This window comes from Homo sapiens, chromosome 5 (genome assembly GCF_000001405.40).
Source record: "Homo sapiens chromosome 5, GRCh38.p14 Primary Assembly".
Classification (NCBI taxonomy): Eukaryota; Metazoa; Chordata; class Mammalia; order Primates; family Hominidae; genus Homo; species Homo sapiens.
In genome coordinates this window covers 82016368-82041970 of record NC_000005.10, presented here as the reverse complement: position 1 = coordinate 82041970, position 25603 = coordinate 82016368, and the positions used below count along the sequence as shown (strand labels likewise).

At 36.9% G+C, this 25603-nt stretch overlaps 1 protein-coding gene across 12 annotated transcripts in view, besides 1 other annotated feature; it reads right to left on the bottom strand.

Annotated features, from left to right (window-relative positions):
* The window catches only part of ATG10 (autophagy related 10), a 284111-nt gene that overhangs the window by 214163 nt on the left and 44345 nt on the right, over window positions 1-25603 (bottom strand). The gene's annotated exons all lie outside the window — the stretch shown is intronic.
* Window positions 16107-18908: an enhancer, noted in NCBI's record as "VISTA enhancer hs1432". NCBI's record gives its function as "enhancer in: limb[10/11]" and the evidence as "EXISTENCE:transgenic organism evidence [ECO:0001131][PMID:17130149]".

Here is a 25603-nt window from a genome sequence, read left to right as displayed (position 1 = left end):
GAAGATATTAAAAAGACCCTAATCAAACTTCTAAAGATAAAAAAAAATACAATATCTAAACTGAAAAATATACTGGATATAATTAACAGGAGATTAGGGACTGCAGAAGGTAAACTTAGTGAATTCAGCAATAGAAACTATCCGAAATGAAACAGACCAAAAAAAAAACTGAAAAAATCAATAGAGCATAGTGAGCTGTGAGACATAAGTGGCCTAAAAAAACATGTAATTGGAGTTCTAAGTATCATTTCTTATTTTATCAAACTTTAAGCACATCAAAGATTTCTAGAGCTCATTTACCTGAAGCAATTCAGCTGTATTTTCATATTTGTAATAAGTATTCATAAAAATAAATGTGTTTTACATACTATATGTTTAGATCTATTTCTGTATCTTTTTAGGAGCCTTTTTCTATTTTCTTAATTTTGAGCATTTAACGCTCTTATTACCTAAGTACTCTAAGGTCTTTTATACTTGAAATATACCAAAGTTTGTTCCCAATTTTCAGGTATCACTGTTTTGACAAGAGGTAAATATGTCACAAATATCTCAAAAACCTAGTTATTTTATATGAATCCTAAACCCATTCATTTATCCAAAAATACTTATTGAATGCTTATTATGTTTTATGTACTAGTGAAACCACTAGTGAGCAAGATACATAAAATCTCTGCCCTGGCAAGATTATATTCTGATATGGGAAACAGCAAATAAATACATAAACAATAAAACATATTTAAACTATAGTAACTTTTACAATGAAAACAACACGAACAGAACATAGTCTCTGCCCTCATAAAACATGAGAGGAATGAAGGAAGATAGATAATAAGTAAAGTTGAAGTTATATAATATTATGTCATAGTGATAAGTGCACTGAAGATTAAAATAGAATAGCTACTGGAAAGGTATAGAAAGCAGTCTTTTCATATAAATAACCTGAAAAACCCTCTCATAAGTCTTGACATTTGAATAAAACAAAGGCATCTAAATAAAGTAAAAATGCAAGCAACACCACGATCTAAGAGAAAGGAATTCTGGACAGAAAATAACTTTGCAAAGGTCCTGTGGCAGGAATGAGTTTGGTGTACATGAAGAACAAAAAAGCCAATAGAGCCAGATCATCTAGGGACTTGTTGGCCATGACAAGGGGTTTATATTTCTATCCATTTGATTGTAATGATTTATGCTGAAATTATTCTAAATTAGAATACTAGGTCATAAAACACTTATTGCTTTTTTCTTCAACAAGTAAAATCACAGTGGAAAAAAATCTGTAATTTAATCACACAAAGAGAAGCCTGATTAAACTGTAATGTATTTTCCTCTAGTGCATTTTTAATTCTTAGGAATTGTTTAAGTCATACTATAAATACAACTTTGTAATCTATTTTTTTAAAATAAGTTTTTCACAAATAATGTGTATCCTTGCCAATAGTTTTTCCCCTGAGAATTCAAACAGTACAATTTTTAGTCAAATATTGATATTTTTAACATTTATGATTTATAGTGCCAAGATCTTTTCAAAATCTGCCTTTCAATGCCACCAGTAATGCATGAGAATGCCTGTTTCACTGCACCTATGCCAGGACTGGTTTTTATCATTCTGGTTGTTTTATAAATCTATACAGTTTGTTTTTATTCTTTGCTAATTTGATGTATCAAAAGCTGTATTTCAATGTTGCCTTTATTTTGTATTTCTGTTATTAATAACTGTAGCAAATTAAAGATGGCAACAAGTTCTGTGACACTCCTCCCATCAAGAGGAGAGGGTTTTATTTCCCCTCCCCCTGAAAATGGGCTAGCCTGTGACTACTTCAGCTAATCCCAGGGGAATGACCCTCTGCCAGTTCCAGGCCTAGCCTTAAAGAGGACCAGATGTTTCTGGATTCGTGTTTGGAGCCCTGAGAAGCTATGTAGGAAGTCCAACTCTCCTGCTGAAGAGACCACATAAACAGGCCCCACGACCCCATAAGATCCCAGTATACCCTTAACAGTTGTCCTGTCAAGCACCAGGCATGTTAGTGAAGCCATCTTAGGCCCTCCAAACCAGCCCAGCTGCCAAGTGAACACTACCAAGTGATCCCAGGTAACACTACATAAAGCAGAAGAATTGCCCAGCAAAGCCCTGGCTGAAGTCCTGACCAAAAAAATCATGAGATATAACTAATTTAATTGTTGTTTCATGAGGCTAGTTTTGGGATAGTTTGTTACAAAGCAAGACATAGCTGAAACATGAATTGCATACTTTCTTCTGTGAATTATCTGCTTTGCAATACACTTGGGTGTTAATGTTTTTTACTAATATATTTAAGTTTCTATAGAATCAAGACACTAATCTTTATCTTGCATACTTTTTAACAAGTATTTCCTAATGCGTATTTCCCCTTTAATTTTTATTACAGTTTGATTACAACCGTAATTGTATGCTACATTTTAAGTGATTTTTACCATTTCATTTCAAAGTTTAAGAAAATCTTCTTCAAAGACAATAATATTCATTTCTATTTTCTTATAGTATTTCTGAAATGTATAATAAATCTGTATAAATGGATTAAACTTTAATCCATTTTGAATGAATTTTGCTTATAGTTTATCAGAGAAAAAAAATCTTATCAATATTTCCAACTTCTCTCTTCTTAATTCCCTGCTTCTCTCCTATTTTTATGACAAAGCAGAAATAAAGTGACTCATGGAATGAATGATATTGCTAATCTATGTAACATTCTATCCCTAAATACAAAGAAATAAATGTCCCCTTTTCTGAGTATGACTAACTTTTTCCCAAAGCTTGAAGGGTGTTTGTTTCCTGGGAACTAAAAGGGGGCCAGGCACGGTGGCTCATGCCTGTAATCCTAGCACTTTGGGAGGCCAAGGTGGGAGGACTGCTTGAGGCCAGGAGTTCAAGACAAGCCTGGGCAAATAGTGAGACTCCATCTCTACAAAAAATTTAAAAATCAGCCAGGCATAGTGGCACATGCCATAGTCCCAGCTACTCACGAGGCTGAGGTAGGAGGATCACTTAAGCCCAAGAGTCTGAGGTTACAGTGAGCTATGATCATGCCACAGCACTCCAGCCTGGGCGACAGAGCAAGATTCAGTCTAAATTAATTAATTAAACAATATCACTTATATAGGAAGAGAGTACATCATAATTGAAATAAAAAGCTAAAAATCCAGTCAAACATATTTTAACATGACATTAGGCTCTACTTAAGACATTAGAAAGCTTTTTGTGAAGGACCTAGGCTCTCACAACTTTGAGAGACAGTATGGGAGCAACAACAAAAGCTTGCTACAATGTTAGAATATAGCTTCTGCTCGGAAGAGCTTAGAAAGAGAGAACTGGCCAGGGGAGCGCATATCAAGAGTGTGAAGAATCCCAGTGTATTGGACACCTCTTGAGCACCATTCCAAAACCTTTCAATTCTACCTTTTACTCTAGCCACAGCTCCCACTACCATTCCATGGAGGCTTTAACCAGCTTCACACATGTGCAACTGGTCAACCCTCACACTGTGACCCTGCCATTCTGGCTGTGGAATTCCACACTTAACTCCGCACTCATACAGTACATGTGCATAATCTGGAACTGCAGGTAGTAAACACTATGGGGCCACCTTTGATCTATAAGCAAAGGAAACCAATGGATAAATGCTCTCTCCCTTTCATCTCATGAATGGACTGCCTTATTTCATGAGTCTCCTCAGAAGATTCTAGAAGAATTAAGAACCAGGCACCAGTAGGGACTCAATAACACATATTTATAAGTGACTCTTCCTCCTCTGCTTTACTCTCCCTGTCTTGTATTCTTGGCTCATGAAATTATTTTCCAAAATAAATATCATCACACTAACCTTTATCTCAGGCTCTAGAGGAAACTCAGGCTAAGACAATCTTTATCTTGAAAATACATCACTGTTGTTACTTAGGTTAGCCAGAATCTATTGCTTTGGCAATCAAAAGCAATCTTACTAAATAAAGACTAAAAAGAAAGAAAAATAAAAACTATATTTAAAAATAAGAGAAATGTAGCAGAAAAAATCTTAAATGAGATAATATCAAGTTGAATCCACAAATGAATAATGCATTCATTATCAAGAAAGAGTTACAATAGAAATGCAAGGATGGTTCAACATTAGAAAATCTGTCAATGTAATCACTACATTAATGAATTAAAAGAAAAAGTCCATATAATTACACTGATAGATGTTAAAACTTTGAATAGAATTCAACACTCAATCTCAAATTTTTGAAGCTCTGAAAAAACCTATAAGACATTTCTCTTAATCTGATGAAAAGAATCTAATAAAAATACATACTTAATGATTAAATATTATAAACATTTCCATTAAAGCAAAGAAAAATAGAAGAATGCTCACTATCATGACTACAGTTCAACATTAGACATAAAAAGTAAATGGGGCCGGGCGCGGTGGCTCACGCCTGTAATCCCAGCACTTTGGGAGGCCGAGGCGGGCGGATCACGAGGTCAGGAGATCGAGACCATCCCGGCTAAAACGGTGAAACCCCGTCTCTACTAAAAATACAAAAAATTAGCCGGGCGTAGTGGCGGGCGCCTGTAGTCCCAGCTACTTGGGAGGCTGAGGCAGGAGAATGGCGTGAACCCGGGAGGCGGAGCTTGCAGTGAGCCGAGATCCCGCCACTGCACTCCAGCCTGGGCGACAGAGCGAGACTCCGTCTCAAAAAAAAAAAAAAAAAAAAAAAAAAAAAAAGTAAATGAGATCTTATTACAAAAAGTGATAAAACTGCAGATGATTTATTCACCTAAATAATCTAAGGGACTCAACTGAATTTTTTTTTTTTTTTTTTTTTTTTTTGAGACAGAGTCTCATTCTGTTGCCAGGCTGGAGTGCAGTGACATGATCTCGGCTCACTGGAACCTCCGACTCCCTGGTTCAAGTGATTCTCCCGCCTCAGCCTCCCAAGCAGCTGGAATTACAGGCACACACCACCACGCCCAGCTAATTTTTGTATTTTTAGTACAGACGGGGTTTCACCATGTTGGCCAGGATGGTCTCGATCTCTTGACCGTGTGATGTGCCGGCCTCTGCCTTCCATAGTGCTGGGATTACAGATGTGAGCCACCACACCTGGCCTTCAATTGAAAAATTAATAGAATAATTAAGAGAGTTATATGTCAAATATCCAGGAAAATACCTAATATCAAGAAAACTGCACAACTTTACTGTAGAATACGGAAAAAATCCCAACAAGTTTTTTATAAAACTTGTAAAGTAATTCTAAAATGTATCTGAAAAAGAAAATGCACAGGAGTAAAGACAATTTAAAAATGTAGAATTAACAGATATAAAAATCAACTAAAGTGCATTTGTAAAAAAAAATTTCTTTTTTGAAATGGAGTCTGACTCTTGTCACCCAGGCCAGAGTGCAATGGCACAATCTCAGCTCACTGCAACCTCCGCCTCCTGGGTTCAAGCAATTCTCCTGCCTCAGCCTCCCGAGTAGCTGGGATTACAGGTGCCTGCCACTATGCCCGGCTAATTTTTGTATTTTTAGTAGAGATGGGGTTTCATCATGTTGGCCAGGCTAATCTCGAACTCCTGACATCAGGTGATCTGCCCGCCTCAGCCTCCCAAAGTTCTAGGATTACATGCATGCGCCACTGTGCCTGACTCATTCATAAAAATTAAAACATGTTATTGTGACAGAGAAGAAAACAGATCAGGAAATTAGAAAACAGACTCTAGAAAACAGGGCCATATATGTTAGAAGTTAATATATGATAAATTGGGGATTTGGGGTCAGAGATGAACAAACAGATGGGTCAGTAATCAGTATGAAGTCATTTGGCTCACCATTAAATAAAATAAATAAGCTACACTACCACATCACAAAACCCCCCAAAATAAGTTCCAAGTGGGTTGAAACCCTAAATACAAAAATTAAAATTATAAAGGTGTAGGGGAAAATACAAAAGAATATTTTCCAATTTTGAAGTTGTAAAAGATTTCCTGAGCAAAACACCAACCCAAAGCCACTGAGCAAAAGACTGGAAGATTTATTAAAACTTAAAAACTTCTATATGACAAATGATACTGTTAACAATGTTAAAAGAAAAGTGACAGACTGGGGAAAATATTTGCAATACCTATAGAAAATGAAGAATACTATAATAATATATTTTACTCTTTTATATATTATTATATAGGATTATATATTTTTATATTATTATATAATATATAATCATATATGTTATTTTTACAAATCAATATTTAAAAATAAACTCACAATAAAACAAAGGACATAAACAATAAATGCCTAAAAGAAATACCAATGACCAATACGCATATAAAAATATGCTCAACATTAGTATTAATAAGGAAAATGCAAATCTAAAAATATGTAACTTTTCATCTTTTAGAATAAAAAAATTTAGAAATCAGCAATATCCAATTTTATAGAGCATATGAGAAAAATGAGCATATTCATTTATTTTTGATAGGAGTATAAATTAGTACAGTCTGTTTGGAGGGAAATGCTCTCCAATTTCTCACTCGTTCATTCACTCATTCAATAAATATTATTGAGCACTTACTTCATGCAATGTGCTGTGCTAGGTCCTAAGAATACAGCAGTGAACAAAACAGACAAGTTCTTGCCTTCATGGAGCTTACATTCTGGAGGGCAGGGTAGAGTGCAGGATGAAGAAGATAAACAACAAACAACTAAATATGTAGAACAAGTGGTTTTAAGTGCAATAAAACTAAATAAATTGGCCAGGTGCAGCAGCTCATGCCTGTAATCCCAGCGCTTTGGGAGGCTGAGGCAGGCGGATTACCTGAGGTCAGGAGTTTGAGACCACCCTGGCCAACATGGTGAAACCCTGTCTCTACTAAAAATGCAAAAATTGGTCAGGCATGGTGGCAGATGCCTGTAATCTCAGCTACTCAGGAGGCTGAAGCAGGGGTATCGCTTGAACCTGGGAGGCTGAGTGAGCCGAGGTCACACCATTGCACTCCAGCCTAAGTGACAGAGAGAGACTCCATCTCAGATAAAAAAATAATAATAATAGATAAACAAATAAATGAATAAATCCGAGTAAGAAAGATTAAAAATGATAGTGTTGAGAAGATGCTATTTTACGTAGGGTGGGCAGGTGTGATCTCACTGATAAGGTGCCATTTGAGCACAGATATGAAGAAAGTAAGGGGGCAAGTCATAAAGCTATCTAGGGGAAGAACACAACAGATAGTGGGAACAGGAAGGGCCGAGGCGCCACAGAAACAGCAGGGATATTAGGATGGCTGGAGCAGAATAAAGGAGTGGGAGAATGATAGAAGACAAAGATTAGAGAAGAAAGACGAGAGGAACCACTGAAGGCCTTGGAAGCCATGGTTAAAGCTTTGATTTTCACTCAGACTAAATAGGAAGTCACCGGAAGGTTTTTAGTAAAAGAGTTATATGACTGAACTCACATTTTAAAAGGATAACTCTAGCTATTGTTTAGAGACCAGATTCTAAGAGGGCATTAATTAGGAAGCCAGGTGAAAAAAGATGACAGCCTGCGCTAAGGTGGTACAATGAAGGTGTTAAAAGTGGTCGAGTATGAATATATGTGGAAGATAGAGTTATTAGGATTTGCTAATGGATCAAACATGGAATGTAAGAGAAAAAGAGTGGTCCAGGGTAACACTGGGTTTTTGTCTTGAGCAATTGGAAGCTAATGATTACTGACATAGGGAAGTATGTGGAAGATACAGGTTGGGGGCTGGGTAGTAAAAATGAGTTAAATTTGTGATGACTGGCAGACATTCAAATGGAATGTCAATTTGGTTGTTGGATACAAAAGCCTGAAGTTCATGATAGGCACTAAAATGCCAGTGCCTATCATGATATGATATATATATACACATACAATATACACATATATACACACAATATATATAGTGTATATTTTATATATGTATATATATAGTACATATATACATATATACTATATACATGTATGTATATATACTATATATGTATATATACATATACATAGTACACATACATATACACATATAGTATATATACATAGTACATATATACATCTATAAATATGTTTATAGATACACATATATAGTACATCTATACCTATGTATAGATATACATATAGTACAGATATATACATATGTGTATCTATACACATATAGTACAAACATACACGTATATATACACACATATGTGTGTGTGTGTGTGTGTGTGTGTGTGTGTTTGTATAGTATTTACAGCCAAGTAACTGAATAAGATCTACAAGGTGAGTCTAATTGGAGAAGAGAAGTTCAAAAATTGAGCAGTGATGCACTCCAATGTCTAGTTGTTGGAAGATGAAGAGAACCAGCAGAGGAAGCCAAAAAGGGACAGTCACTGGGGCAGGCGGAAAACCAAGAGGGCAGCATCCCAGATGCCAAGCGAAGGGTGCTTCAAGAAGGGAGCAATATAGCCAGGTGTGGTGGTGTGCACCTGTAATCCCAGCTACTCAGGAGGCTGAGGCAGGAGAATCACTTGAACCCAGAAGGTGGAGGTTGCAGTGAACCGAGATCGTGCCACTGCACTCCAGCTTGGGCAATAAGAGCAAAACTCTGACTCAAAAAAAAAAAAAAAGAAGAAGAAGAAAGGAGCAATAATTGTGCCAATTTTGCATTATCTATCAAAATGTAAACTATCATTCAGCAATTCTATTTTGAACCGTCTACTCCCCTAGAAATATATATGTACATATAAAAATTGTATTGCATTGATATTTATTAAATTATCTTTTGTAATAGCAAATTAAATGCCCATCAATAAGGGAATGTTTATATTATGGTGCATCTGAACAAGAGAATAAAATACAACAATTTTAAAAAGCTGGTAGAAGAAAGTTGCTGATATAGAATGACTTCTTAAATATTAAATGAAAAAAGGCTACTTGAAGAATGATCATTCTATATGTATATGTTACCACTAAAGCAGGCAGGATAGTATGGTTAGAAAATGCATGAGCTCCATCCCAAACAGATTTCCTGGCATATAAATTTCGCGTGCCACTTTGGACAAGTTTCTAAACTCCTCTTGGCCTTCCTTTCTCAAAATCCCTCAAAGGGATTAGATGAATTAATATATTAAAAAGGTGTGAACAATGTCTGGCACATAGCAATCACTAAATAAGTATTAGCCATTAATAATGTCTTAATAGTATATATTATAATATATAATAACAATATATATAAAGGCATAGGAAGAAGTTTTGAAGTCAAATCCCAAACTGTTAACACTGGTAATCTCTGAGGAGGAGTTTGAGATTGGGAGTTAGCAGACAGGGTGAAAGGTGACAGAAAGATACTTAAACAGTTTATCATATATATTTCTATATTGCTTGAATTTTTAATAATATATGAATGCAAATTTTTGTAAAAGCATATGTGCTTTCCTTATGAAATTTTTAACCTTTTTTTAATTGAGAGAGGAAAAAGAACAGTAAAAGTTTATGGATTTGAATGGCTATTCATGGCAATTTTTAGTCAATGACCTATAGTTCAACTGACACCAAAAAGATCAATCAAAGAATTGGAATATTGTGAAGCAGGCAATATAACATTTTCTAGCAATTTCAAGAAAAACACACAGATATATAACAATAAAAATAGAAAAGACAGAAAAGAGCCTGAATAAAATGAAAGAAAGGGAAGAATGAAACTGAGCACAGATATATAAACTCTGAGTCTAACCATTCAGGCAAATCAAAAACCATATCTATCACACCTGAGACAGGCAGTCAACCATCATCTCCTTACACGTTTCCAGGGGCAAACAGCATATATTTGTCAGTTACACCTTATACTAACCAGAGTCTCTCATTGGTCCTACTTGTCTCATCTGAAGCAACATAGAATTAAGTCTTCTCTTTCTTCACCAAGACAGACTTTTGGCTACATACTCTGGTCCCACTACCTTGTCTGGGCAGGCCCAGCCCTGCCAGCGTAGGCAAAGAGAGCATTCCAAGCAGCAGGCTGCTATAGTTGCTCCAAATCTAAGCCAAAATACAGCTCAGATTCTTTCCATACAGTGTTGCCAACAGGTAGAATAGTTAGCACAATTTGGAGGTACAAGTAGCATGACTTCTGACTGACTACATTCTGCTGGAGAAACAACAGGTATCATCAGCAGGACACAAATGCAAGAGTGTGCTTTATGCAGACTCAACTTAACCCTTTTATGTGTAACTCAAAGCCCTTCTTTTACCACCTCTTTCTTTGTCTTCAGTACAAATCCATCACCAGCTCTTCGCAGACCTTCCCAAGGTGGAGCTCACTACTCCATGTATGCCTCTGACTCTAATTACTATTTACTGCATTTGCATGTGTTTTTTCACATTATAATGTCATTAGCATGCAAGGGAGCCCCGTTGCCAGGGCAACCAGGAGTGGTGAATGCAGGCACAGCCTTTAATGAAAACTTAACCCTACTTTGTTTAATTCCCACTGTGTTTTTTTGGCTCACTTCACCTCTGTGGCCCCAAGAATGGAAACATCCTACAGTTACCCTTCTTATCTGGTGTTGCTCCAAGGTCTTGATAACCTATGTGTGTTGCTCTGGATACACTAGCAACACATTTTTTTTTATAATTAACCTTGATAAATTTGCTCCCAATATAATAAATTTTCCTTCTGATCAACACTGCTCATTCAACACAGTCCTTCGAATATCTAAAATAGTCTATTTTTCTCCACATTCAATATTGTCAGGTTCTTCAAATTTGATATGATTTCTGGAGTCCTTACTCACATGACTGCCCACCTCTGAAAGCATTCTAAATGATTTGGTTGAGATCAAACTCACCACTTCTATAGCATGCTGCCCATCTGGTAATTCTCTCAAAAAATAAAAATAAAATAAGAAGTTAGTTTTGACCAACCTACAAAGGAATGTTGTTTATCAAAGCTGGGTATAAAACGATGATGATAATAATAATAATAATGATTGTGAGGTAAACAATTTAAGATTTAATTTTTTAAAAAGTCACAAGCAAAAATGAGATGATACCTATCATGAATAAAAATAAAAACCTAAATGTAGGCTAAAAAATATCCAACTACACAAAAACAGGAGCTCTTGCTTAACAGTAACACACAATTTTAAGACACAAGAGCTACAGATGCTATCAAGTTCAACAAGAGCCCAAATGTGACAGGCTGTCACGTAGGGATTATATAGAATTTAGTTGGTAATTGTTATACTTGCAGGAAAAGGTAAGGAGAGCAAGGTCAATAGTACTGCAGAACTGTTTTAAGAAAGGAAATCTTGTATGAACCAGCAACTAATGATCACCAAAATAATATATTATTTTCTGGTATCACTATCTTTTGCCATATGAGGAAAGACAGAATCAGTGGGGCCAATGAGAAGTTAGCAAAACTGAGGAGTAAGAAGTTACTAGGAAATGAGTTCCCACTTTTGATGTGGCAGACATGGAGAAGCGGACAAGTAAGAATGTTATTGTTCAATAAAATCATTTGCAATGATAGAACTGTTCTTTGTGCTGTCCAAAATGTAGGTAGTAGCCACTTGAAATGTGGCTAATCCAACTAGGGAGCAAAATTTTTTATTTTATTTTATTTTACTTAATTTAAATTTCAGTTTGAATAACCACATGTGGCTAGTGGCTACCATATTCTTAAGCACAGCTACATAGATGATGGGCTGCTGCAGACTAAATATTCTCCCAGAACATTTTAAGATCAGACCATATTCTTCAGCTTTCCCACAAACAACTGCGATGAAGCCCAGAAACACCCAAGTCACAGTCCGTGAAGAGGCCCTACTGTATGTAGCATCCATTGTAGGCCACATCCTACACAGAAGAAGCCTCAGGCCATAAGAACAGCCTGCCTTGAGACCAGTGGTGGGAATTTAGAAGGAGACTGGTGGTTAGTGTCACTACAGACTTCACAGACTCTAAGGACAAACTGCCTGAGTTGATATCCAACTCTGCCACCAATACATGTGACCTTAGTTTCCTCATCTATAAATTGGTACTATTACTAACCAATGTGAATTATAATTGGTACTATTACTAACCAAGGTGAAGATAAGCTCAGAGAATATAGGCAAATAGATCCTAGTACAAAGTAATTGCTAGTGAGTATTTTTTCACAAAAAATAGGTTCCAAGAGTTAACTTACTTTGATCTATACCCATGAGTGAGATATAAAATGTTAGTATAATTTATTTCTCCTTCCAGGCCTTTATTCTTCCACATAATTCAGAAGCCATCTGAACAGCTATTGGCTTAGTCCAGCTTAGTCTGGTTCGTCATGCTGCAACATCTACCCATCATGCCACTACTGCTGACCCTTATCCCCCACATCAGTAAGTCATAAGACACAGACAAGTTATACTCTCCCAGTCCTTGTTTTTTATTCCATTCTCTGAATTTTCTTAAGCTGCTGAATTTGGGACCTGTCATAATTGACATTCTTGACTCAGCCTTCTGGTTGTCATATGATTCAGTCCAATGTTTTCTAACCCTTTTCCCATCATGACATACATAGAAATTCATATTTGAATAATAGGGTAAACTGGAGGGGATTTTGTGGTGTTTATATGAAACTTTGTATAAAACCTTAAATACATTTTCTTTATATTGTATAATTATTACATTCAATCCCCATTCCTATCTCAGCTCTAGGCAACCACTAATCTACTTTCTGTCTCTGTAGAGAATATTTATCACTTTTCTCCAAATGATGGAAATGCCTTTCTCATCATTAACCAGAATTTGGATAATTCAAACTTAAATTGTACTCTACAAGTGCCATCATTCAGTAAATCAAATAGATCTTCCTTTATTTTCATGGACAAATGTGATTTGAAAATTTCTTATGACAATATGAATAAATTGTGAATACAATTGAAATCATACATTTCAAACCAATAATGTATCTCTTCCTTACGTATACAAATGTTGCTCTACTTGTCTTAATAATTATTCTTTTCTATTCAGTGACACAGCCTAACCACAATTGTATCATTTTTAACCTCACATTTCCAAGATCAAATGTTTGCCTTAATTTCTGAATCCATAAACTTTATCAATACATATGAATATATTATTGAAAGGTCCTGGTGATTTTCTATTAGGTTTATTTATTCATCTAATTAAACTAATTTTCAAGCCAAGAACTACCTTTCAACAAATACTCAAAGTAAGAACTGTCTACCAAAAAAGTTCCAGTTCTCCTTCTAGTTCCCAAACTTTTGACAAAACTTTTCCTCGGACATCTACTGCACTTTAGTATGAAACAGTGCAAAGTTGTATACATAAAACTGAAAACAGACATAAGTGAAGCAGCCTCAGTTGCAGTAGATTCTCCATTTAGACACATCAGAGTGTGGAACTCTTACACAGGAAAAGTATATTACACAAGAGTTTCTCTGTCAATAAAACATTGAATTATTTGAATCCTATTCAATGTCTTCACAATACCCTTGATGTGAAGCCATTATGCCTTTTTTTGCAGTCACCCATCAGTGTACAAACTCAAGCCTGGTTCCATACTTTATTTGTTTCAAAGTATGAATTTACCACCTTCAATATTTCATCCCCAGTAATTTGTTTTGGTACTTCTTTACAAAGAACTGATATTTTTCCAAGAATTTCTCTTTAGGAATCATAACTCATACAGCAATTCAGCATTTTCTAATGTGTATAGATTCATCAATCTGAAATAAAACCTGACTCATTTGATAATAATCTGGATTAATGCTATCTTTATCCCATCCAATATAACGTCAATACATTCACTAGTATTGAGAGTACCACTTCTTCCTTTTCTTTATTGGCCTCAAACAATTTTCACACTAGGTGGTAAAATGAGGGCTTCTATCCTTGTTTGAGACAGTTTGGCTTTAGCTTTTAATGGTGTGACCTTGTAACTGGTTTATTTAGCTTAATCTAACATTGTTGGAACCAATCTCAAAAAGAGCTTTGGTTTTTCTTGTTGCTTTGCAGAACCTTAAAATGTTCAAATCTTTTCCTGCTGAGTTTTTGTAGTGAGGTGCCAGTGCAGTTTGCTTGGCACCTTGTCTTCAACTCGTAACTTTTCCTTGCCAGTAAGGCATTTAGGCTGAGGAAAAAAAAAGAGCTACTGAGCACATACATCCAAATTTGAGACGATTGTCATTTCATTACCTAACTAGTGACTAACTTTTTTGATACTGTGTTTGTTTTGTGAATATGCTGGCTTTGTAGCTTTAATGAAAAGTTATTCAATAAGATTGAAAAGTAAGAACAATATCTGTAAAAAAATAAGTATTTTTTAAGTGTAAGGAACTAATGGGGACTATAGGCTTTTTCAACTACATAAAATCTATTTATAGAGTTAGGGAACTTTCTGCATTCATTAAAATGTTTTTAAAACAAACTTCATCAAAATTCATAAAAGTAATCATTTATATCTGTTTACTTCAAAAATTAAAACTTTGAAATATTCAAAAATATGTACAATACATATACTCATGTGTGATTTAAAATATTTTGATTAATTGATTTTCTCTTTTTTTTGAGACAGGGTCTCACTCTGTCACCCCAGCTAGAGTGCAGCGGCGCAATCATAGCTTACCACAGCCTCAACATCCTAAGCTCAAGCCATCCTCCCACCTCAGCCTTTTGAGTAACTAGGGCTACAGGCATGCACCACCATGCTCAGGTAATTTTTAATTTTTTTGTAGAGAAGAGGTCACACTACGTTGCCCAGGCTGGTCTGAAATTCCTGGGCTCAAGTGATCCTCCCACCTTGACCTCCCACAGTGCTGGGATTACATGCATGAACCACCATGCCCTGCCAATAAATTTATTTATTTATTTATTTATTTATTTATTTATTTTATTTATTCATTTTTCTGAGATGGAGTCTTGCTCTGTTGCCCAGGCTAGAGTGCAGTGGTGTGATCTCGGCTCACTGCAAACTCCGCCTCCTGGGTTCAAGCGATTCTCCTGCCTCAGCCTCTCGAGTAGCTGGAATTACAGGTACCCACCACCATGCTCGGCTAATTTTTGTATTTTTAGTAGGGACAGGGTTTCACCATCTTGGCCAGGGTGGTCTCGAACTCCTGACCTCATGATCCACCCACCTTGGCCTCCCAAAGTGCTGGGACTACAGGCGTGAGCTACCGCACCCAGCACCAGTAAATTTATTTTCTAACGTAAAAGGCCTTTTAATGAATCAGCTTAATTAAATTTCATTGAATTATTACATGATTTTTAGAAATAAAAGTATTTTTTAATTCCCAAAAACAAATAATAAACCATTATGAAATTCTATCAAGAATGTAACTTTGGCTAATTATTAACACCAAAGGCAAAAACTAAGTCAGTCAAGAAGTAACAAAATCAATGTTTTACTTAGCAACACCTAGTATCAGAAAGTGGTAATAAAAGCAATAAAAATAATTATACATATGTTCTAAGTCAGCAAAACTATAAAATAATAATAGGAAACAAAATAGAAATAAAATACAAATATTGTACATGCATTAAAAAACAAAATTTTAAAAGATGAAAGCAACCCCAATATCCATTAACAGAAGAATGGATAAACAAAATGCGGCACGTATATACAATATTATTCGATCTTAAAAAAGAAGGAAATTCTGATACACGCTGCAACATGAATGAACCCTGAAGGCATTATGCTAAGTGAAACAAGCCAGTCACAAAAGGACAAATATATGAATCCATTTATATGAGTTACCGAAAGTAGTCAAATTCACAGAGACATAAAGTAGAATGGTGGTTGCCAGGGGCTGGAGGAAATGGGAATGAGGAGTAGTTGTTTCATAGGTACAAAGTTTCAGTGGGGAAAATGGAAAGTTCTGGAAAAGGATGGTGCTGATGGTTACATAGCAATGTGAATGTACTTAATGCCACTGAGCTGTATACATTTAAAAATTGTTAAGACAGTGAGTTGTCATGTTTTTTACCAAAATTAAAATTTTTCTTTAAATTTTAAGTGGTTACAATGGTGAGTTTTAAGTTATATATATTTTACCATAATCTTAAAAAATAAAATTACTGATGATGACAAGTTTATCAGAAATGTGTAATCAAATGTACTGGGATGATTCAAAGTTCAAGGTCAGGGGCAGGTAATACCTGGTACTGCTACTACAGAGAATTTTCAGGGCACAGGTGCTACACCTAAAGCTTTTTAGTCCAAAATAATTAGTGAATCTAGGGTGTTTACATAGGAAGTCCTTCAAATACTACTCAAATATTTCAACTGCTATAAGTTTCTGTACAAAACACTGTTAATTATGACTACCGGCATACTGAGTCCACCTATAGCCTATTTGTGGCACAGTAACATGTCACGGCACAGTAATTAAGAAGCTCTGATCTCATCCCCAACTTTCAGCTTTCTCCCTTATCAGCCTCCTATCTCCCCCAGGCTCAGCACATTCTTAGACAATCATCTGGGTAAATCTCATCCTAGTTCAACCATGGATTGGGACCTCTGTTTCTTGAATGCTATACTGAAGGACATTTCCCTTCTAGCACACCCCACCCTCATAAGCAGAACCCATAGAGTAGCTACAAAAAAGCTAATGCATCATAAGCAGCCTTAACAGAAGCAATATCTGGAACAAGGTGAATTATATGACCTTCTAACTCTAAACCTCTATTTCTATGACTTATGTACATTTTTATGACCCTATGTTATATAACACATTAATCTCAGCTTTATATTATGATTGCTTGTCCGGGTATCAGCAATGAATAAAATACATAGCAAAAAGGCATGCCTCATGATTTTTAGTAGCACTAAGCTATCCGAGGTAAAACTGAGAAGTAAATGAAACTTGTCATTCATGCTTTCCCATTCCTATCTTCACTTTTTGTCAAGACCCACATAATGCCCCATGGCAGTCCAAAGTTCCTGACTATCTTACATTACCTTTCAAAAAGTACACAACTCAATTTTCTCTGTTCTTTCCTTTCCTCCACCTAAAAACCTGTCCCAGTTTTTAAAATCTCAATTTGGCAACAGCTCACCTCCTTCAGACATAAATCCTGCTTAGACTTGCTAATTTTCATACGAGAATGTCAACACCAACTCCACTCAGTGGTCACTACAGCATATGGACCTGCCCTTAACAGAAAACACAGAATATCTCTACTTGAGGTTCTGCCACCCAGCCCTTAGCTTATTAACCATTCAGGGTCATCAGGCTGTTTTCTCAGGGTACTGGAATTATAAATCATGGCCTTTTTTCTTTAGTCAAACTTCAATACATAATGTTATGTTATAGGGCAAAGGGACAAAAATCAACATTTGAAAATCTTATCCTAGACCAAATGCTTTTCAAACCATCTGTGGTGAAAGATCAGGATTTTATTTCCAATCTGTCATAGACATATTTTTGTGAAAAACACTAAAACTGAATTACTAGAAAAAAATGAAATTAAAAAATCCAAAACATACAAATTACAAGCCTCAATTCTTTTATTAAACAGACATAGAAATTACTCTGTCAAACTGCTTAAAAGTTTTTAGTCACTAATTTTCCATTTCTGTACTGATGTCCTTGCACTGTTACCAGTGTAGGCCACGCTTTGAGTAATGCTGCCTTAGAATACAGTCTCTCATCCCAACCCAAATATCTACCTCTACCCTGTCAAGAGAGTCGAACAATCCATCTCGGAAAGAAGCTGGAAGACAGAATAGTATACTCTATGGTTAGTGAAAGAGCCACTTGGGATACATACACATCTGCCATCTATACACTTCTAATGCATAGAAGCTGATCCTTTTTCATAAACTACTCACCAGTCTAACACACTTTGAGGTTTATGAGAGTAATAGGGCTGCAGTCTCATATATGTCTTTTACTTTGAAACCTCTCAGTTTTTTAGGTTAGTTAAAACCCCTATTCTGGTTCTTGGTCATTTACATAATAAACAGCCATTTAAATGCACATGCACTACACCCTGGTGAAGTCAGCAGGAGGTGCACATGAAGATCTGAGACCAAACTTCTCTGTATGTGTGCAAAGCATGTCTCCATTGTGCAATCGCTCTACAAATAAGAAATAAACACTGGGTTTATAAGACTTGGAAGAAAAGGTTTACGGCTTTGACTGTTTTCCATTACTGGAAAATTTACATGCTGAAAAGTAGCAAAAACCAGTGCAAAAGAATAAACAGCGGGTGCACTTCAAGGGCTTGTTTCTTTCAAGAATCAGGAGCAAAACTGGGTTTTATTAGCTGTTTCATTAAGTTTTACTTTGAAGAAAAACAAACAGTGAAAGCATATGTGCAACATCTGATGAAAAAGGATTTTATTCCAAACAGTCTCTGTACAAAACTCATTAATGTAACATTAAATGTGAAGACTTGTCTAGCAATTTAAGAATAATTTTACTCATTTTAGTTTATTTATAATTTCTGACACAGTTTATTTAATGTATTCTAAACTTTAAATCACCATGTGTACTAAACTAATATATTAAATCTGTCTTTTCAATGACATTTTGCAATAAATATCTACAGCATCTGTTAAAGACAATTACTATATAAATCTGTATCAAATTTAACACCTAAAGTAGGATAATGCAGCTGGATATTGATAACTTGAAACACTCATGATTACATGTGTTTTTAAAAAATACAAGCAAACTTAAAAAAATCTAAATATATGTGCTACTATAATCTAGTATCTCAAATCTAAGCGCCTAATATAATACACAAAGTATTAAATAAAAGTATTCTTTTTTCCTTAGAACAAATTTAGTCATGCTGGATAGTCATCATATTCCCACTGGAAGAATCTGCCCAATTGCTACTTTCTTGTTTCAATTCTACACATTGATAAGAGGCAACTAAAGTTTGCTGGGGCAGGGGGGGAGCATTGAGAAGAAAAATAAATATATATACATACATATATATATATATATTTTATGTGTGTGTATATATACATATTCCAGATCCATTGTGTTGGCTACATAATGGTGGTATGGAATAGATAAAACTTCAGCTTCTAACTTAGTTAATGAATATTCAAATATTAAACTATAGGTTAGGAGTTAAGACAATAATCTTTGGAGGCAGACACACCTTGGTTCCAGTCTTGACCCTGCCTCGAACATAAATACTATGTAACCTGGACAAATCATTTACTTTCTCTAAGCCTATATGCCTGTCTAAAGTAGAAATAATAATGGCTAACTCACAGAGATATTGTGGGGTTAAATTAAATGAGATATATGTAAATAACAGCACAGTTAATGGTGCTTTGAAAATGGACTTTCCTCTTTAAAAAAAAAAAAAAAAAAGAGTACTGGCTGGGCATGGTGATTCACACCTGTAATCCCAGCACTTTGGGATGCTGAGGCAGGAGGATCACCTCATGTCAGGAGCTGACCAGCCTGGGCAACATGGTGAAACTTCATCTCTACTCAAAATACAAAAACTAGACGGGCATTGTGGGTACCTGTAATCCCAGCTACTCGGGAGGCTGAGGCAGGAGAATTGCTTGAACCTGGGAGGTGGAGGCTGCAGTGAGCTGAAATCATGCCACTGCACTCTAGCCTGGGTGACAGAGCGAGACTCCGTCTCAAAAAAAAAAAAAAAAGTACTCATTTTAATCAAAGTAATACACCACATATTTTAAAAACTAAACATGCATTAAAATACGTATATACATCCAGTCTTCTGTATCAGCAAGCTCTGCATCCACGGATTCAACCAACCTCAGATAAAATTTTTTTTTTTTTGAGACGGAGTATTGCTCTGTCACCCAGGCTGGAGTGCAGTGGCGCAATCTCGGCTCACTGCAACCTCCACCTCCCAGGTTCAAGTAATTCTCCTGCCTCAGCCTCCCGAGCAGCTGGGATTACAGGCATGCGCCACCACGCCCAGCTAATTTTTTTTTTTTTTTTTGAGACAGCGTCTCACTCTGTCGCCCAGGCTGGAGTGTAATGGCGTGATCTCGGTTCACTGCAACCTCTGCCTCCTGAGTTCAAGCGATTCTCCTGCCTCAGCCTCCTGAGTAGCTGGGACTACAGGTGCCCGCCACCACGCCTGGCTAATTTTTATATTTTTAATAGAGACTGGGTCTCAACATGTTGGCCAGGATGGTCTCAATCTCTTGACCTTGTGATCCGCCCGCCTCGGCCTCCCAAAGTGCTGGGATTACAGGCGTGAGCCACTGTGCCCAGCCACGCCCAGCTAATTTTGTATTTTTAGTAGAGACAGGGTTTCACCATGTTGGCCAGGCTGGTCTCAAACTCCTGACCTCATGATCCACCCGCCCCAGCTTCCCAAAGTGCTGGGATTACAGGTTTGAGCCACCACGCCCGGCTGATAAAATATTTTTAAACTACATCTGCTTTGAACATGTACAGACTTTTTTTCTTGTCATTATTCCCTAAACAATACAGTATAACAATTATTTACATAGCATTTACACTGTATCAGGTATTGTAAGTAATCTAGAGATGATTTAAAGTATACAGGAGGATGTGCATGGGTTATATGCAACTACTAAACCATTTTATATCAGGGACTTTAGTATCTGCAGATTTTGGTATGGGAAGGTAGTCCTGGATCCAATCCCCCCAGGGATACTGAGGGATGACTATATAATAAAAGTCAGCAGCCCCTCTTTCACCCCTCCACATACCCTGGTCAGCCTATCCAGATGCAACCACTTGCAACCTTCCTTGTTTCTTCTACTATTCAATACCAAATTCCATACATTTTATCTATATCTTTTTTCTGATACAACAAATTTACACATTACCTACTGAGTTATTGTGGAGATTATATATATTTGAATTCAGCATGACCCCTGAATTTTAAAACCAGGGTTATTAAAAAAAATGACTTCTGTTAAACTCATACATTGGAAAGAATACATCTATAAAAGAAGTAATCTCTGTTTTAGGAACCTAAGTGATACAAATCAATTGTAAGGTGTTTATAAGGGACCTCTACTCCTCAGAGTACAAACATGAAATGGTTTTATTTTTTCCAGTAATTGTCCTTAACATTCCTATGTGGAATCCCCTTTTGTACCTGGTAATTGTGGCAGACTGATTTCATTAATGACCTCAATTTTTCTCTCCCTATATCCATGTCCTTTGGTATTGCCTTCTCGCAATAACTCTGAATGTGGCCTCTTTGAAAAGCTCAAGTAGAGGTCTAAAAAAGTACTTGAGTATTTCTACTTTCTCTCTTCAGACCCTTACCACCACCATGAGAACAAGCTCAGGCTGGCCTGCCAGAACATGGAACCAAGCAGAATCATCCCAACTGAGGCCATCCTAGGCCAGCCCCCAGCCAACCCTCAGTTGACAGCACATGCATAAGCAAGCCCTGTGCACATCAGCTGAACTTGTCACAGATCAGCAAAACTGTCCAGTCAATTTGCAGACTTCCGAGAAATAATAAATGGTTGTTTTAAGTCACTACGTTTGGAATGGTTTATTATGTAGCAATATCTCACCGATATATTAGGGATGCTTAAAAACAACTTGGTCCCAGTCCGTAACTTTTTAGATGCTTCCAATTATTAGAACTCTATCCTTCTCCAGATAATTAAGACTCAATCCTACTATTAGTTTTGTTACTCTGAAGACTTGTCTCAAAATCAATTTGAAGCCCTTTTCTCCCTGTAGTTCAACCCATAACCTCAGCAGCTTGAATAAGCTTCTCAAAATGAAGCATGCTCTTACTCAGAAAAGCCTCCTGCCCCTCACTACTTCTAGGAGCCCATGGCTTAAAAACTGGAAGGAGGGACATCGACTGGTTTAACTGGATGCAGTCACAGTCCTCTTCTTGTTTGCTGTTGCTTCTGTGACACTCCCTGGTTGTCAATATCTCTCCACGTGGCAGACACACAGCTGCTAACTCCCCCATGGGGTGACTGCATGGGCGCTTCAGAGGCGCCTGCAGGGAGACCAACCCCTGGCACACTTCCCTAATCCAGGCAGTCACCATCCCCCTTCTACAACTGCTGAGGTCCCTTTACCTGACTATCAGCCTTCTAGAACAGGACAAGAGATAAAATAGGTCAAGCCTGGCTACTCTTTGAAGTGATCATATTAAACAGGTTGAACACTAACCCCTCCATAGCCCCACTATTGTTCTCAACTCCCTGTACCTCTGCTCAGGCAGAAAAGAGCAGATGAGCAAATCAGCAGCTAAGCAAACACCCAACTAAGCAATGAAATGACCACTCCTCCCTCCCTCCCCATCTGTAGGTACCCCAAACTCATTACAAGTGGTTATTTGAAGAGGGAAGAGAGGCACTGGGAGAGGAGAGAGTGGTTTTTCATTAAGAACACTGCACTCCCCCTTTGCCGAAACTCATTCTCATATCGGGGTGGAGGTTCTCAGTTCTTCAGGAATGGTTCCCCAGGGCAGTCTCTGTAGGCAGATTTCTGGCCCCAGTGGCTAGTAGATTATTCATAGCAATCCAAATATAGAAAATTAGTTACTTAGAGTCTTTTGTCTTCAGCTTGAGGCTTTAGCTGCAATTCTGGAACAAGATAAAAAGGTCCCACTCAACACACTGTTACATGGTTATTTTTAAATCTAAAATATGCATTAAATTCTACTATGCTGCATATCATTATAGAAAAAAATCCATTTTTACTGAAATGCTGGTTTTATTAAAAAGACTGCCCTGAAGAGGTTATTTGAATTATATTTATTAACTTTTTATGTAAATGTTATGGTGTTTTCATGGATCCTAATTCATCAATTAAGGGATAAAAAAGGAATACTGACTTGTTTTTTAATTTCTCAAAATTTTTCAAATAAAACTTTTGTCTAATAAAATTCTTCAGACAAATTGTGAATTTTATTTTTTTCTGGAAAATCAGATACTCACTCACTCATTTAACAAAACTTTGTTTTTGTGCTTACTATATACTCAGAGATATTCTAGTTGCTTTGGGCATATCAACAAATTAAACAAAGATTCCTACCTTCACAGACTGGGCAAAGAAAGAGAGATATTAAACAATAAACATAATAAATAAGTACATTAAATAGTATGTAAGAAGACGAAAATAGCAGTATGAAAAAAAGCAGAGTAGGAAAAGGGAAGCAGGAGTGCCAGAGTGAGGCTGTCAGATAGGCAAGCCAGTGGCTAGCAGATGGTTTGAAATGTTGCACAGGGCAGGCAGGGAGGCCTCATTAAGGAGGTGGCATGTGAGCAACCACACAAAGGACCTGGATGACTTAGCTATATCTGGAAGAAGAGTGTTCTAGACAGAGGGGCCAGTCAGTTCAGAGGCCCCAGGGTGGCAGTGTTTGTCTGGAGTGTTTAAAGAACAGCAAGGTCAGCGTGCCTGGACAGTTGTGATGAAAGAAAGAAAAATAGGAGGTGAAATCAGGGGAGTAAGAAAGTGGAGAAGGAAGCAAACTGCACAGTTTATGGTGTATTGTAAATATTTTGGCTTTTAATCTGAGTTGAGAAGTGACACAATCTGACTTGTATTTTAAGAGTTATGTCATAGGAAGGCAAGAGTGAAAACAGTCAGATCATTAGGAAGGTAATCCTAGTAAGAGTTGACGATAGTTTATACCAGGGTGGTAGCAGGGAAGATGATGACAGATGGTATGATTCTGGATATTATGAAAAGGGAACAAGCAGGATTTCCTAATGGATTAGATGTGGGGTGTAAAAAAAATAAAGGAGTTAAAGATAGTTCCAGTAGCTTGAGCAACTGGAAGGATGGAGTTGTCATCAATTCAAAGAGGGCTGGTTTGGGTGGTAGTAGGTGAACAAGTTTGGGAGCGGGGAGACTAGGAGTTTAATTCTGGACATGTTAGCTTCGGGATCTAAGTGAATCCATCAAAGTAGAAGTGTCAAGAAGTTGGCCTTAAGGGAGAGACATCTGGGCAGAGGATATACATTTAGGAGTAATTAGCATTTGGATGGAATTTAAATGATGAGACCTCCATGGTCATGAGACTAGCTAGAGATGAGAATAAGACATAGGACTGCTCATGGGCACTAATATTATGAGACTGTGGGGAAAAAATAAAGAAACAGCAAAGGAGACTGAAAAGGAATAAAGAGTAATATAGAAGGTGAACTAAGAGAGTAAGGACACCAATTGAAGAAAGTATATCAAGGAGGAAAGAATGATCAATCCTGTCAAGTGATGCTAGAAGATCAAATAATTTACCTGTGAGTTTAGCAGCCTAGATATCACTGGTAACATTAATAATAATATTGGACCCAATGGATCATTCCATAAGAAAAGAAATTTTACTACTTAAATTCTTCTAAAACAAATAGTTTTTGTTAAGCATTTGACAGAATCCAGCATCCCTTTATGATTAAAACCCTCAGCAAAACCAGCATAGAAGGGACATATCTTAAGGTAAAAAAGCCATCTATGACAAACCCACAGCCAACATTATACTGAATAAGGAAAAGTTGAAAGCATTCCCCCTGAGAATTGGAACAAGACAAGGATGCCCACTTTCATCACTTCTATTTAACATAGTACTGAAAGTCCTAGTCAGAGCAATCAGACAAGAGAAAGAAATAAAGGGCATCCAAATCAGTAAAGAGGACATCAAACTGTCACTGTTTGCTAAGGACATTATCGTATACCCTAAAGACTCATCCAAAAAGCTCCTAGAACTGGTAAATGAATTCAGCAAAGTTTCAGGATACAAAATCAACATACGCAAATCAACAGCCCTGCTATACACCAACAGCAGCCAAGCTGAGAATCAAATCAAGAACTCAACCCCTTTTACAATAGCCGCAAAAAAAAAAAAAGAGATAAAATACTTAGGAATATGCTTAACCAAGGAGGTGAAAGATCTCTACAAGGAAAACTATAAAACACTGCTGAGATAAATCATAGACAACACAAACAAGTAGAAACACATCCCACGCTCTTGGAGGGGTTGAATTGATATTATAAAAATGACCAAACTGCTGGGGCTGGGCGCAGTGGCTCACGCCTGTAATCCAGGCACTGTGGGAGGCTAAGGTGCGCGGATCACGAGGTCAGGAGCTCGAGACCATCCTGGCTAACACGGTGAAACCCTGTCTCTACTAAAAAAATACAAAAAATTAGCCAGGCGTGGTGGCAGGCGCCTACAGTCCCAGCTACTTGGGAGGCTGAGGCAGGAGAATGGTGTGAACCTGGGAGGCAGAGCTTGCGGTGAGCTGAGATCATGCCACTGCACTCCAGCCTGGGCAACAGAGCAAGACTCCATCTCAAAAAAAAAAAAAGAAAGAAAGAAAATGACCACACTGCCAAAAGCAATCTACAAATTCAGTGCAATTCCCATCAAAATACCACCATCATTCTTTACAGAACTGGAAAATAACAATCCTAAAATTCATATGGAACCAAAAAAGAGCCTACATAGCTAAAGCAAGACTAAACAGAAAGAACAAATCTGGAGGCATTACATTTCTTGACTTCAAACTATACTATAAAGCCATAGTCACCAAAACAGCATGGAACTCGTAAAAAATAAGCCTATAGACCAACAGAACAGCACAGAGAACCCAGAAATAAAGCCAAATACTTAGAGTCAACTGATCTCCAACAA